The 13,071-nt window shown below is 51.7% G+C and overlaps 1 protein-coding gene across 5 annotated transcripts in view, besides 5 other annotated features; it reads right to left on the bottom strand.

The window, feature by feature from the left end:
- Positions 1-12,954, bottom strand: part of DRG2 (developmentally regulated GTP binding protein 2) — a 20,022-nt gene extending 7,068 nt beyond the window's left edge. For 4 of the 5 annotated variants that reach the window (XM_005256499.4, XM_011523704.3, NM_001388.5 and 1 more), the window contains exons 1-7: positions 12,815-12,954; positions 6,929-7,089; positions 2,543-2,632; positions 1,825-1,885; positions 1,179-1,269; positions 467-539; positions 243-333 (exon numbers count right to left, since the gene is read on the bottom strand). In XM_005256499.4, coding sequence (XP_005256556.1) covers positions 243-333; positions 467-539; positions 1,179-1,269; positions 1,825-1,885; positions 2,543-2,632; positions 6,929-7,089; positions 12,815-12,878 — 631 coding nt within the window. In that variant the 5' untranslated portion in view covers positions 12,879-12,954. Of the gene's footprint in view, positions 1-242; positions 334-466; positions 540-1,178; positions 1,270-1,824; positions 1,886-2,542; positions 2,633-6,928; positions 7,090-12,814 lie in introns of those variants that run through there. The other variant, XM_005256500.3, reaches the window with a different exon arrangement.
- Positions 12,070-12,569: an enhancer, noted in NCBI's record as "H3K27ac hESC enhancer chr17:17991647-17992146 (GRCh37/hg19 assembly coordinates)". NCBI's record gives its function as "activates a minimal SCP1, AML or CMV promoter by ChIP-STARR-seq in naive H9 embryonic stem cells {active_cell/tissue: H9 hESC(naive)}" and the evidence as "EXISTENCE:reporter gene assay evidence [ECO:0000049][PMID:30033119]".
- Positions 12,070-12,576: a biological region, named in NCBI's record as "H3K27ac hESC enhancer GRCh37_chr17:17991647-17992146".
- Positions 12,527-12,576: an enhancer, noted in NCBI's record as "active region_11826". NCBI's record gives its function as "activates an Ori minimal core promoter by ATAC-STARR-seq in GM12878 lymphoblastoid cells {active_cell/tissue: GM12878}" and the evidence as "EXISTENCE:reporter gene assay evidence [ECO:0000049][PMID:35858748]".
- Positions 12,570-13,071: an enhancer, noted in NCBI's record as "H3K27ac hESC enhancer chr17:17991145-17991646 (GRCh37/hg19 assembly coordinates)". NCBI's record gives its function as "activates a minimal SCP1, AML or CMV promoter by ChIP-STARR-seq in naive H9 embryonic stem cells {active_cell/tissue: H9 hESC(naive)}" and the evidence as "EXISTENCE:reporter gene assay evidence [ECO:0000049][PMID:30033119]".
- Positions 12,627-12,946: an enhancer, noted in NCBI's record as "active region_11825". NCBI's record gives its function as "activates an Ori minimal core promoter by ATAC-STARR-seq in GM12878 lymphoblastoid cells {active_cell/tissue: GM12878}" and the evidence as "EXISTENCE:reporter gene assay evidence [ECO:0000049][PMID:35858748]".

Below are 13,071 nucleotides of genomic sequence, written 5' to 3'. Positions count from 1 at the left end.
CCGGATGTCATCTGGCTACCACAGTGCCCAGTACTTGGTGAGGAGCCAGGAAGCCATTGTCAAGTGCACGGCTGCAGACCTGGCAGTCTGGAGCTTGCCCAGAGGCTACTTGAATGGACAGCAGGGGCAGTGGGGGTGACCTGCTGCCACCCTGCTCCATGAGGCCTCCTGTCTTAGTCAGTCCCCCCGCTGCGCTGACGGTGGTGGCTGCCCTCCTTCACGTGTCTTTCAGGGAAGGATACTGTATTCGTGCAGGATGAGCTGCACCAGCTTTTCCGAGCACTGGGTCAGCGTGACTGTCGAGTTAAAGGAGATGCCACCACCTTTCTTGGGCTGAAAGAGGAGAAAGGGATGGGGAGAACTGCTGACCGAGGGGTCACAGCAATGGTCCCACAGCCTCAGCCGCCAGCCAATGCAGTCTCAAAACTGCCACACCCCTGGCCTGAAGGCCAGAGAGGTGCCTCACCTTGAAGTAGATGTTAGGCTTGTGCTTGTTGAGGCGGATGCCCACAGACTCCAGCTCCTTCTCCAGCAGAGACCTAGGAAGAGTACCCCTTAAGCCCCTCACAGGCTGTCCACAGAGCCAGATGCACAGCTTCCCTGTTACGCAGGATGTCACTGCCCACCCAGAGACTGACTCTCTCCTCCACCCCCTTCCCCAGCAACCCAGAGAACACTCCTTCCCAATGCCCTAGAGCTGCAGGGAACTTCTAAACTCTGCCACAGTCCCAGAGGGGACTGGCCCGGTTTACGGTCGGCATGCACAGGCAAGTGGTGGAGCCCCCGCGAGGTGACCACATGAGGGTACTCCTTCTGGTCCCGAGGAGGCAGGCCTGGTGTACCCCTCTGCCAGGATGTGGATGAACAATGCTTCTGTGCCTGGGGCTGGGCTCCTGGCAGGTTCTGGGCAGTGATGAGGCACCTGTGCCTCTGAACAGGAAGCAGGGCCAGGCCAAGCCCCTCGGCCCCCAGTCCCAAGATACCTCTGTGCTGGCTGGACACAAGCCTTGAGGAGAAGACGCCATAGGCTGGGTGGTGTTGGGTTTAGTCTGTGACAAGTCCTACCACTACTCTCACGTGTGAGAGAGCCAAACACCCACAGGCCGCCTAGTACGAGCTCAGGGACACATTGGCCCTCCCCAGACATGTGAGCCTGCCCCATGCCCCACCCTGCGGACCTCTGCACCTCTCCCTTGGTGGCATCCAGCATCATGATGATGACGTCAGCCGTGCGCGCCACAGCGATCACCTGCCGGCCACGGCCTTTTCCTGGATGGGTGTGAGGGATGCAGTTACATATGTGGACCCATGTGACTGCTACCCAGCCCACGGCGCCCTGGACTCCTGTCCTTTACAGACCTACCACAGCCTCTGCCACATACTAGCACAAGCTTGGCATTTTTCTTTAATCCACATGTTTTACTGACGGAGACTTATTTCAGAAGAAAATCCGACACCACCATCATAAAAGGAGTAACAGGATAATAACGGCTGTCCTACGCCCACCCCTACCATGTGGCAGGGCCCAGGCTAAATGCTTCCTGAACATTTCCTCACTTAATCCTCAAAACTATGCTGTAAATTATGTATTATTATGCCCATTCTACAGCTGAGGAAACTGAGGCTTGGCTTAGAGATACCCAATCACTTGCCCAAGATCACAAGGCTAGTTTGGTGCCAAGGATTTGAACTGGAACCTGTCTTTTCTGGAAAGCGGGATAATGGACCAGGGATCCAGAGTGATCTCCATGACAGCCACACCCAATTTCAACGATCAGTAACAGAGCTCCAGTCTGCTTCCCACACACCTGCCCTGCCTCCCACCTTGGGCTGCGCCTTCAATGATTCCAGGAAGGTCCAGGAGCTGGATGTTGGCACCTTTGTACTAGGATGCAGAAGAGAAGAAAGGTAAGGCAAGGCTGGGCCTCCACTGGAAAGGTCCTGTCTGGATCTGGGACATCTGGAATGGCCCCGGGGCTCAGGGGCTGAGGGAAACCCAGATGCCAACCTGTGGCCAAGTCTGAGCCTTGTCACCACCCCAGCCCAGTGCAGACCACAGCCTATGAGCTGAGTAGCCGCCTAGGGAGGGCTCAAGATCTTCCAATCCCACAACACTCATCACTGATGATACCAGCACTTTACAAATAAATTGTTTCACCATGGGAACTTAAGGCCATACCACTCAGCTGCCCAAAGCAAACACAGCCCAAGGCAGTGAAGCTTCATGGGGAGGCAGAAGGATCCAGCCAAGCAGCAATTAGTGACCAGAGCTGTGGTGGTGTTGGGGAGGAGAGCACAGGGGGCGCCAGGCAAAGTAGCCACATGCTGGCCTGACCTCCTAGTTCCAGGCCCCACCAGGCATCTCTGGGGTCCAGCAGCTAGGATCCCCAGAAGTGTCAGTGCTGGAGGGCAAAGCAGCTCAGTCCAGAGCCTGTCCTGACATGGGGACATCCACCCAGACTCACACACAGGGTGGGCACAGGCACAAGTCCAAACACAAGCATGCGCCCCTTCTCCTTCTGGGCCCAGCACACCCACTTACTTCAATGACCCCAGGAATACACGTCAGAGTGGTGAACTCATAGGACGCTGCCTCGCTGGCCGTGGAGGTCATCAGACTCAAGAATGTGGACTAGGAGAAAAGGAGATCATTGCACTGAGGAGCCTTGTCCCTGGCCTTCTGGGAGAGGCCCCAGGGGCTGGGGGCCTGCAGGTGCAGGCAGCAGGAGGAGACCCTCTCACCCTCGGCTTGGTGACCTAGGTGGCTGTGAAGAGACCTCCCAGCCAGAGGGCTCACCTCTGGCCCTGTCCTGGATGGGTCAGACACCAGAGGCCCATCTGTTCCTTGGAGGCCTCAGGACTGTCTCAGGTAGAGGCAGGGATCTGGATTCTGATGGGGTTCCCCATATACATCAGGAGCCTCTCCTAACCCCACACAATCCTCCAGGCCCTCTTGGCCCCAGAGAACTTTAAGCAGGTGGCAGTCCCACGGCACTCGTGGAACCAGTACCCAGACATGCTGTGCACCCAGGGAGGGTGTAAGGAGGTGTGCAAGGAGATGTCAACCTCCTGGGCTGAGGCAGAGACAGCTGACAGGAGAGGTGTCGCAGGGAGGGAGTGGGGAACTGGGAAGATGTGGATGTGACCACTCAGACCACCGTTCACTGTGGCTGGGAGTTGGAGAAACCTGGCTTTGAATCCTGCCTCTGCCGGGGTGTCCTGGGATTGGGCAGGAAACTCCATACTCTCAGTTCAGGGTCTTTACATGTAGAATGGGCATGAACCCGGTCCCTACCTCACAGGACTGCACAGGGATTAAAAAGATAAGGCCCGGGATGTGCCTCACTCCAAACACTGTAACATCAGTGATAGATGCTGTGGCTGAGGCCAGCCAAGCAGTGGGCAGACCCAGGGAGGGAAGAAACCCAGCCCCATGCCTCCTGCCCCATCCTAATCAGCAGGGCCCCAGGAACGAGAAGCCTGAGACTCTGAGTTGCAGGGCCAGCTATCCAGACCCTGCCTCCTGGCTGACTGGCAGGAAGACTGGGGGCACCCTCCCCAAGGCACCCTTAGACCTCTCAAGTCCAGAATGTGGCATGTGATGGAAATACATCGAGTTCCCAAATCCAGAAACCCTCAGCCTTGGGGATCTCCTGGAAACTCAAGAAATGAGAAAAACCTGGTGGAGTGGACAGGTATAGGGATAGACACGGTGGCCCCAAGAGCAATGGCTGTTGAGACAGCCAGCAACCAACCTCGGGGCCACTCCCTGATTCTGTCTGGCCCCTGTAAGACCTGGGCCCTCCCACGGTGGGAGAGCCTATACTCCCAATAAGGCAGGTGGGATCTGCCATGGGCCCAGACTTCAAGGGTCACGGCTCTTGGTAACTAGAGCGGCTTCTCTATCAATCTCTCTCTCTCTGATACATATACCAATCATATAGGCAGACAGTACAACAAATAAAACTAAACACTGCCCAGCCTGCAGCAAGCACTCAAGAAAAGGTAGCTGTTAACCACCATCCCCTGTGCCTGGCCCAGAGCAATGGAAACTGGGTGTGGGCTCAAATTGTTCAGCTGAACTGAGTTAGAAGCTGCTCCCCAGCACCTGTCCAGAGCTTTGGTTGTTGCTCACTTGGCCTATATTCTAGCAACCTCTCCACTGTCCCACTTCACTTTGCCCTGCTATAACCTGCTATCTACACAACAGCCAGAGTGATTCTGTAAAAAAGTAAGTCAGCGCCCAGATGGTAGTTTCTAATGCTATTCTCCAATCAAAGGAACCAGGGCTCCTTAGAGAAATGGCAGATTCTAGGCCAGGGCAGGGAATATACAAAATGAGCCTGAGGCATCTTGCAGTGTCAGAAAGTGAGGAAGTGCTGGAAAAACACAATGGTGGAAGTACATCAAAGAAGCCAACTAAAATAGCTCCAAAGCTAAAAAGATTTGAGCAGCAAAAGAACATGGTATGGGTTTAGACCCCAAAGCACAAAATAACCCCCCACGAATCCATACGGATATCAATAAATGATTGAATAAAACAAATGAATGGGAGAAGAGAGACAAATCTCCCATGCAGAAGAATTCCAAACAGTTTCTGTAGATGCTCCCCTCAAGGAGGCGATGGAATTGGACTGCACACAGTCACCTCCCTCCCCAAAGCGGCATGGCAAGGGGAGAAGAGAGCGTCTCCACGGTGGAGAAACCTGACACACCTCAGCCAGGTGGTCAAGATCAACATCAGCAGGGGTAAGTCATGTTGACAGTATGTGGCCTTCATGCGATGTGATAAAAATGGCACTTTACCTCTGTGGCCTTCCTTGCTAACTATAACCCCAGATTAACCACGAGAAAAACATTGGACACACCCCAACTGAAGGACTTTCTACAAAATATGGGAATGGTACTCCTTAAAACCGTCAAGGTTATCAAATCAAGGCAAGTCTAAGGAACTGTCTAGAAGAGCCTAAGGAGACATAACAACTGAACTGTGATGTGGGATCTCAGGACAGAAAAAGGACAGTGGGGAGGAGCTAAGGAAATCTGCATAAAGCCAGACTTGAGGCAAGAACAGATCAATATTCATTGGTGTAAAATGTTAACTGCCAGGGAAAATGGGTGTGGGGTATATGGGAACTCTGTATTACCTTTGCAATTTTTCTGTAAATCTAAGACTATTCTAAAATAAAAAGTTTACTTTAGGCCGGGCGCGGTGGCTCACGCCTGTAATCCCAGCACTTTGGGAGGCCAAGGGCGGGTGGATCACCTGAGGTCAGGAGTTCAAAACCAGCCTTGCCAACATGGTGAAACCCTGTCTCTACTAAAAAAGGATACAAAAAATTAGCCGGGCGGGGTGGTGCATGCCTGTAATCCCAGCTACTTGGGAGACTGAGGCAGGAGAATTGCTTGAACCTGGGAGGCGGAGGTTGTAGTGAGCTGAGATCGTGCCATTGTACTCCAGCTTGGGCAACAAGAGTGAAACTATACCTCCAAAAAAAAAAAAAAAAAAAAAAAGAGCCGATCAGACATCTCTTTTCTGCTCAAAACCCTGCAATGATGTTTATTTTATTCCTCACATAAAAGTAAATCACGCCGGGAACGGTGGCTCATACCTGTAATCCCAGCACTTTGGGAGGCCAAGGTGGGCGGATCACCTGAGGTCAGAAGTTCGAGACCAGCCTGGCGAACGTGGTGAAACCCCACCTCTACTAAAAATGCAAAAATTAGCCAGGGGTGGTGGCGGATGCCTGTAATCCCAGCTACTCGGGAGGCTGATTGATAACTGCTTGAACCCAGGAGACAGAGGTTGCAGTGAGCCGAGCAAGACTCCATCTCAAAAAAAAAAGTAAACCAATATAGATTATACGCTAAACAGAGCAACTTCCAGAAGAAACCTTCTTTTTTTTTTTTTTTTTTTTTTTTTTTTTGAGATGGAGTTTTGCTCTTGTTGCCCAGGCTAGAGTGCAATGGTGCAATCTCGGCTCACCGCAACCTCTGCTTCCCAGGTTCAAGCGATTCTCCTGCCTCAGCCTCCCGAGTAACTGAGATTACAGGCATGCGCCACCACCCCTGGCTAATTTTGTATTTTTAGTAGAGACAGGGTTTCTCCATGTTGGTCAGGCTGGTCTTGAACTCCCAACCTCAGGTGATCCACCCACCTTGGCCTCCCAAAGTGCTGGGTTTACAGGTGTGAGCCACCGCGCCCGGCCGAAGAAACCTTCTAAAAACTCTGCAGTTTCATTCTTCAATCCAAGCCAGGGTCCTTTCGGCCGCCCATATGCCGCTATCCTCTCTGTCTTCTGCCCTCCTTGTGCTCCTCAGAGAGCCACCTGGGCCTCCCTGGACACACCAAGCGAGCACCTGCCTAAGGGCCTGTGCTCACTGTTCCCTCTGTCTGGAAGGTTCTCACCCAGGACTCTGCAAGCTCACTCACTTCCTTCAGGCCCCTGCCCAAATACTCACTCACCAGAGAAACCTGCCGGGACCTGTCGTAACTAGCAGACCTTCACCCTGTCACTCACCAGCCCCCACTCCTCACCACTGGATGCACCTTATTACTTATTTACTGTCCTTTCTCTTCAAGAATGGGAGATCTATGTGGGCAGGGACAGAGCTCTGTCTCATTCATGCTATGTCTCTAGTCCCTGGCACAGTGCCCAGCACATGACACCGCTAGAGATACACACTCGAGAAGTATTTGTGTGTGATGACTGAGTCGGAAGACCAAGTAGGGCTCCATCTGCTGGCAAGAGGAAAGAGCGTCCTCCATGTTAGGATGATAAAGGGCTGGGATCTGACCCTGGGGGAGGCCAGGTCTTCTGTGTCCCTGGAGCTAAGCAGAAAGGCAGCGAGGGGAGCCTGGATGGTCACCTGTTTGAAAGATGACTTCTTGCTTTCCTCCCCGAGGCCCACACTGACCATCACTGACCTTACCCACAGAGGGAAATCCAATCAGCGCCACACGGGCATCACCCGACTTCATGACATCAAAGCCCTCTCCTTTGGACGAGGCCGATTTGGACGGTTCCAGGAGCTGGGCCCGATACTTGGCGAGCTTAGCTTTCAGCAGGCCCAGATGATACTCAGTGGCTAAAGGATGGAAAGCAAGACAGAAGATGAGTGGCCAGGGTGTCCAAGCCCAGGGGTCAGGCAGGGCCCACATGTCGCCAAGTGCTGGCTGGGAAGCAACTGCTGTCAAGGAGATCAGGAGAAAAAAAAAAAATCTCTCTGCTTAAAAGGCCCCCTTGGCTTCTCACTTCATTTAAGATAAAATCCAGTCTCTTAGACCGGGCGCAGTGGCTGACGCCTGTAATCCCAGCACTTTGGGAGGCCGAGGCGGGTGGATCACCTGAGGTCAGGAGTTCGAGACCAGCCTGACCAACATGGAGAAACCCTGTCTCTACTAAAAATACAAAATTAGCTGGGCATGGTCGTTCATGCCTGTAATCCCAACTATTTGGGAGGCTGAGGCAGAAGAATCACTTGACCCAGGAGGCAGAGGTTGTGGTGAGCCGAGATCACGTCATTGCACTCCAGCTTGGGCAACAACAGTGAAACTCCATCTCAAAAAAAAAAAAAAAAATCCCGCCTCTTTGTTGAGACTTCACCAAATGGTTCTCACCAATGGTTCTCAACAGAGGGGGCACCGCTTCCTGGGGGGCATTCTGGAAATTCTGGGAGATGTTTTCTGTTCACTTTGATGGTGAAGTACGCATTGGCATCTATTGGGCAGGGGGCAGGGAAACCAGCTGCCCTATTAGGTGAGTCAGTCCTATGTAGCTGAGGAGAATTATCCCAAGTCCATGACTTGTCACATCCCAAAGGCATCCACAGAGGGAAAACCTGGGTTAGGATCGCCAGGCCTAGAACCTAGCTCTGTTTACATATAAACACAGGACATTTTGTACAGTGTTAATATACACTGAAATTCCCAGGAATGCAACTATTATGTATATGAAGGGAAGACTATGTCATGCTTTGTCTGAAACTTTACCTAGAGCTGCTCACCATTCTGGGATCCCACGCTGCCATGGCAGCCCCTCTTGGGGTGTAACTCAGTGGCCAATACAACACACCTGCATCGTGGCTGTCACATCCCCAGTGATTCTACCTAGAGGCATGAGCATTCTACTGCTTCAGGGTAACTTCGTTAGATCCTGGCAGCACTCCAGCATTTATGTATTTAAATAAATACCATTTTCATTATAAATTACTTTCCTTTTTCTTCTTCTCCTTTATATTACTATTAGGGTATTATATTGGTTTTTTTCAAATTCAAGTTATATTACTGATGGGGAATTTCATTTCAGGACTGTAAATGGTGTTACAAACTCTTTGCTCTAAAAGGAGGCCGTCGTTGAGACTGAGAACCAGGACCCTATGTTACCTGGCTCCTGGCTACTTCAACACACTCTGCTACATTCCAGACACAGTTGCTTTCTCCTCTTTTTTTAAAGAGATGGGGGTCTCATTCTGTCACTCAGACTAGAGTTCAGTGGCACGATTATAGCTCACTAGTCTTGAACTCCTGCCTCAGCCTCCTGAATAACTAGGACTACAGGCATATACCACCAGGACTGCCTAATTAAAAAAATTGTTTTTGTAGAGATGAGATGTTGCTATGTTACCCAGGCTGGTCTTGAACTCCTGGCTGTAAGCAATCCTCCTGCCTCAGCCTCTCAAAGTGCTGGGATTACAGGTTGAGCCACTGGGCCTGGCCTTTCTTTTTTTCCTTTTCTAGAATATGCTGACATCATTCCTTCCTTGGGACCTTCACACTGGCGATTCTCTCCATTTCAACGAGATCTTCCTGGAACTGGCTCCTTACCATCATTTGAGGTGCAGCTCAAATGTCACTTCTTCAAAGAGGCCTCCCCTGCCCAGTCTCAGAGGGCAGTGAGAGCTTGTGTCAGAACTCCACCCTGCCATTAGTGGGGCCATTTTACTTTGGAAAAGTTAGTCTTCTTGTGCATCAGTTTCTTAATCTGCAAATAGGGTTATTAACAGTAGTAACTTCTTAGGCAGATTTCTTTTTTTTTCTTTTTGAGATGGAGTCTCACTGTATCGCCCAGGCTGGAGTGCTGTGGTGTGATCTCAGCTCATTGCAACCTCTGCCACCAGGGTTCAAGAGATTCTCCTACCTCAGCCTCCCAAGTAGCTGGGACTACAGGCACACGCCACCATGCCCAGCTAATTTTTTGTATTTTTAATGGAGATGGGGTTTCTCCATGTTGGTCAGTCTGGTCTCGAACTCTCGACGTCAGGTGATCCGCCCGCCTTGGCCTCCCAAAATGCTGGAATTACAGGTGTGAGCCACCAACAAAGTCTCACTGGTGTCACCCCGGTTGGAGTGCAGTGGTGCGATCTCAGCTCACTACAACCTCCACCTCCTGGGTTCAAGAGATTCTCCTGCCTCCGCCTCCCGAGTAGCTGGGACTACAGGCTGGTGCCACCATGCCTGGCTAATTTTTGTATTTTTAGTAGAGACGGGGTTTCACCGTGTCGCCCAGGTTGGTCTCAAACTCCTGACCTCAAGTGATCCACCCACCTCGGCCTCCCAAAGTGCTGGGATTACAGGCGTGAGCCACTGTGCCTGACCATACTTCAGCAGATTTTTGATGGTGGAATAATGGAGAAGTCTTACAGAAAGCACTAAGAACATCGCTTAGCATACAGTAAGCACCCAATAAAAGTTGGCTATAATCTACAGTAAATTCCGCCCTTCCCCAGACTGCTTCCTGCCTCATGAGCAGGTTTACTGTCTTCTCGACTCTGAAAATGATCTTATTTCTTTACTTCCCTGACTCCGATAGGTCAGGAAATGGGACTGGATCCCCAGCCTCCAGCACAGGGCCCAGGCACACAGGAAATATTTTACCAAGTGAATCAGTGAATTGATAGCAGTAAGAAATGGTCAAGAATGGGTTCTGCAGCTGGGCATGGTGGCTCATGCCTGTAATCCCAGCACTTTGGGGAAGCTGAGAAGGGAGGACTGCTTGAGGCTGGGAGTTCAAGACTACCCTGGGCAACATAGTGAGACCGTGCCTCTACAAAAAACATAAAAATTGGCCGGGTGGGGTGGCTCACACCTGTAATCCCAACACTTTGGGGAAGCTGAGAAGGGAGGACTGCTTGAGGCTGGGAGTTCAAGACTACCCTGGGCAACATAGTGAGACCGTGCCTCTACAAAAAACATAAAAATTGGCCGGGTGGGGTGGCTCACGCCTGTAATCCCAGCACTTTGGGAAGCCGAGGTGGGCGGATCAACTGAGGTCCGGAGTCCGAAACCAGCCTGACCAACATGGAGAAACCTTGTCTCTACTAAAGACACAAAATTAGCTGGGCGTTGTGGCACACACCTGGGAGACTGAGGCAGGAGAATCCCTTGAACCTGGGAGGCGGAGGTTGCGGTGAGCCGAGATTGCACCATTGCACTCCAGCCTGGGCAACAAGAGTGAAACTCCATCTCAAAAAAAAAAAAAAAAAAAAAAAAAAATATATATATATATATATATATATATATATATATATATAAATTAGCCCGGTGTGGTGGTGCACACCTGTAGTCCCAGCTACTCAAGAGGTGGAGGTGGAAGGATTGCTCGAATGCAGGAGTTTGAAGTTACAGTGAGCTATGATCACACCACTGCACTCCAGCACTCCAGCCTGGGCAACAGAGCAAGACTGTCTCAAAAAAAAAAAAAAAAAAAAAAAAGGATTCAGTGTCAGTCAGGTACACATGGCCCTTCCTGTCATCCCAGCTCCTAAAATTCTGAGCATCTCTGAAGGGAGGGACTAGGTCTTAATCACCTTTATATCTCCTTTGTCTACTACTGCCAAAGTGGCAGCATCTCTAGCCTCCCTGTGACTTTCCTTGGGTCTTATGGGTAATATGGAATATTACAGCAGCCAGAGGGAACTTTCAAGACAGAAGTCAGAATAGCCCCTCCCCTGCTTAACACCCTGCACCAGCTCCCACTGCCTTAGAACACAACCCAGAGTCTTTCCCATGACCTATGGCTCTGCATGATCAACCCCCTCCTGTCCCATCACTGCACCCCAGCCCCAGTCCTGTTGACCTGTAAACAGCCAAGTTTGTTCCTGCCTCAGGGCCTTTGCACTAGCTGCTCTTTCTGCCAGGAACCCTCTTCCCCCAGATGTTTGCGTGACCGGTTCCTTCTTTTCAATCAGGTCTTAGTTCAAATGCCCCATCCTCATGGTGGTCTTCTCTATCACTCCACCTAAGCAGACCCAATCCCCAGTCCCTCCCCACCCCCAATATTCTGCTGTATCACCCTGGTTTGTCTTCATAGCACATATTGCTGGCTGACATTATCTTATTTATTTGATTTCTAGTTTTCAGACCGTCAACTAGAAGATCAGATCCAAGGGCTGGGATATGCCTGCTGTGTTCACTGCTTTAACCACAGTGCCTAGCACATAGTAAAGGCTCAGGAAAGATCGGCCAGGCACGGTGGCTCATGCCTGTAATCCCAGCACTTTGGGAGGCCGAGGCGGGTGGATCACCTGAGGTCAGGAGTTTGAGACCAGCCTGGACGACATGGCAAAACCCCCTCTCTACTAAAAAAATACAAAAATTAGCCGGGTGTGGTGGCACGTGCCTGTAATCCCAGCTATTTGGAGGCTGAGGCAGGAGAATCGCTTGAACCTGGGAGGCAGAGGTTGCAGTGAGCCCAGATGGCACCACTGCACTCTAGCCTGGGTGACAGAACAAGACTGTCTCAAACAAACAAACAAAAAAGATTTACAGAAGGAATGAGTCATAGAGGGCCCTCAACTCCTTGGCCTTCAAACCTAAATGGAACCAAGGGAGGGCAGACACTGGGACCAGCTATCTAGTGTTGCTTGCTTCCTGCTCCCACAAGCCTGAATGGCTAGCCACTAGCCTGGCCAATTGCATCTCCCATTACTCTTCCATAACCCCCTTCTGATCTAGATTGTTCTCACTGTCCCATGAACATACCATGCTCACTCCCATGTCTTTGTCTCAGCAGTGGCCCCCACCTGGGATACCCTTCCAACAACCAGCTCAAGTCCCACTTTGTCCTGGTGTCATCGTTCTCTCCTCACCTCTCTTCTGTGAGCTCCTCCAGCCCTTACATTCTAAAGTCCAGATTTGAGGCTTCATTATGTATTATCTATGTTGGGGTGTTTACTTTAAATACTGAGTGCTCACCATGTGCCCAGTGCTTTGTAAAGGCCATCTAATTTAACTCAGCTGTGTACTAAGATGGAGCAGGGGAGTATTACCCCATTTACAGATGAGGACACTGAGACTCCAAGAAATGAAGTGACTTTCCAATGTTTTACAGAAGGTACGTGGTGGACCTGGGGCTCAAACCCAGGCCTTCCAGACTCCAGAGTCCTGATTCCCTTGCTCCAATGGGCTCTCAGCTGCTGGGTGAGGCTGTTCCTGAGAGGTCTCCTCTTGCACTTCCCAAAACAACAGAGTAGACCCAGGCCCCAGGCCCAGCCATCAGGAGACTGAGGTTTGAACCCCAGCTCCGCCTCTCTCTGGGTCAGATGCTTGCTCTGTGAGCTGGGACTACTCTACTCGGGCACACGGTCTGGGACTGACCAGATCTCTTGGGGTACGTTTGCAGTCAGACCTGGGCGTGAGACCCGCTCCCGCCTGGCCCTGCCTTGGGCGCGCAGGGCGGCCTCGGCACTTGTCTGGCAACTTCTCCGCGGCCTCGGATCTTGCCCCAGCATTACTGCTGGAGTTGTTCCCCCATTTTACAGACAGGAAAACTGAGGCAGGCAGAAAGGAAGGCCCCGCCCGGCCGGCCCTCACCCTTGTTCTTCTGTGTCCGAGCGATCTCCTTCTCGATCTCCGAGATCTTCTCTAAGATCCCCATGGTAGCAGCAGAGGTGGGCGCACAGACAGCGGTGGCGGCGGCACCGGCAATTCCGGTCTGACGGCGGCGACAGAGTAGCGTGCGCCCGGAAGCCAAAGAGAACAGCGTTCTCGTGGGCGCCTGGTGCTCCAGGATTCAGAGTCCGGGCGAGCCAAGTGCCAGACACTATCGGTTCCGCCCGCTGGGCCGGCCA

The sequence above is a fragment of the Homo sapiens genome, chromosome 17 (genome assembly GCF_000001405.40).
Source record: "Homo sapiens chromosome 17, GRCh38.p14 Primary Assembly".
In the NCBI taxonomy this organism is placed as follows: domain Eukaryota; kingdom Metazoa; phylum Chordata; class Mammalia; order Primates; family Hominidae; genus Homo; species Homo sapiens.
The sequence above is the reverse complement of the archived record's forward strand: the minus strand, read 5'-3'. Positions and strand labels throughout refer to the sequence as shown.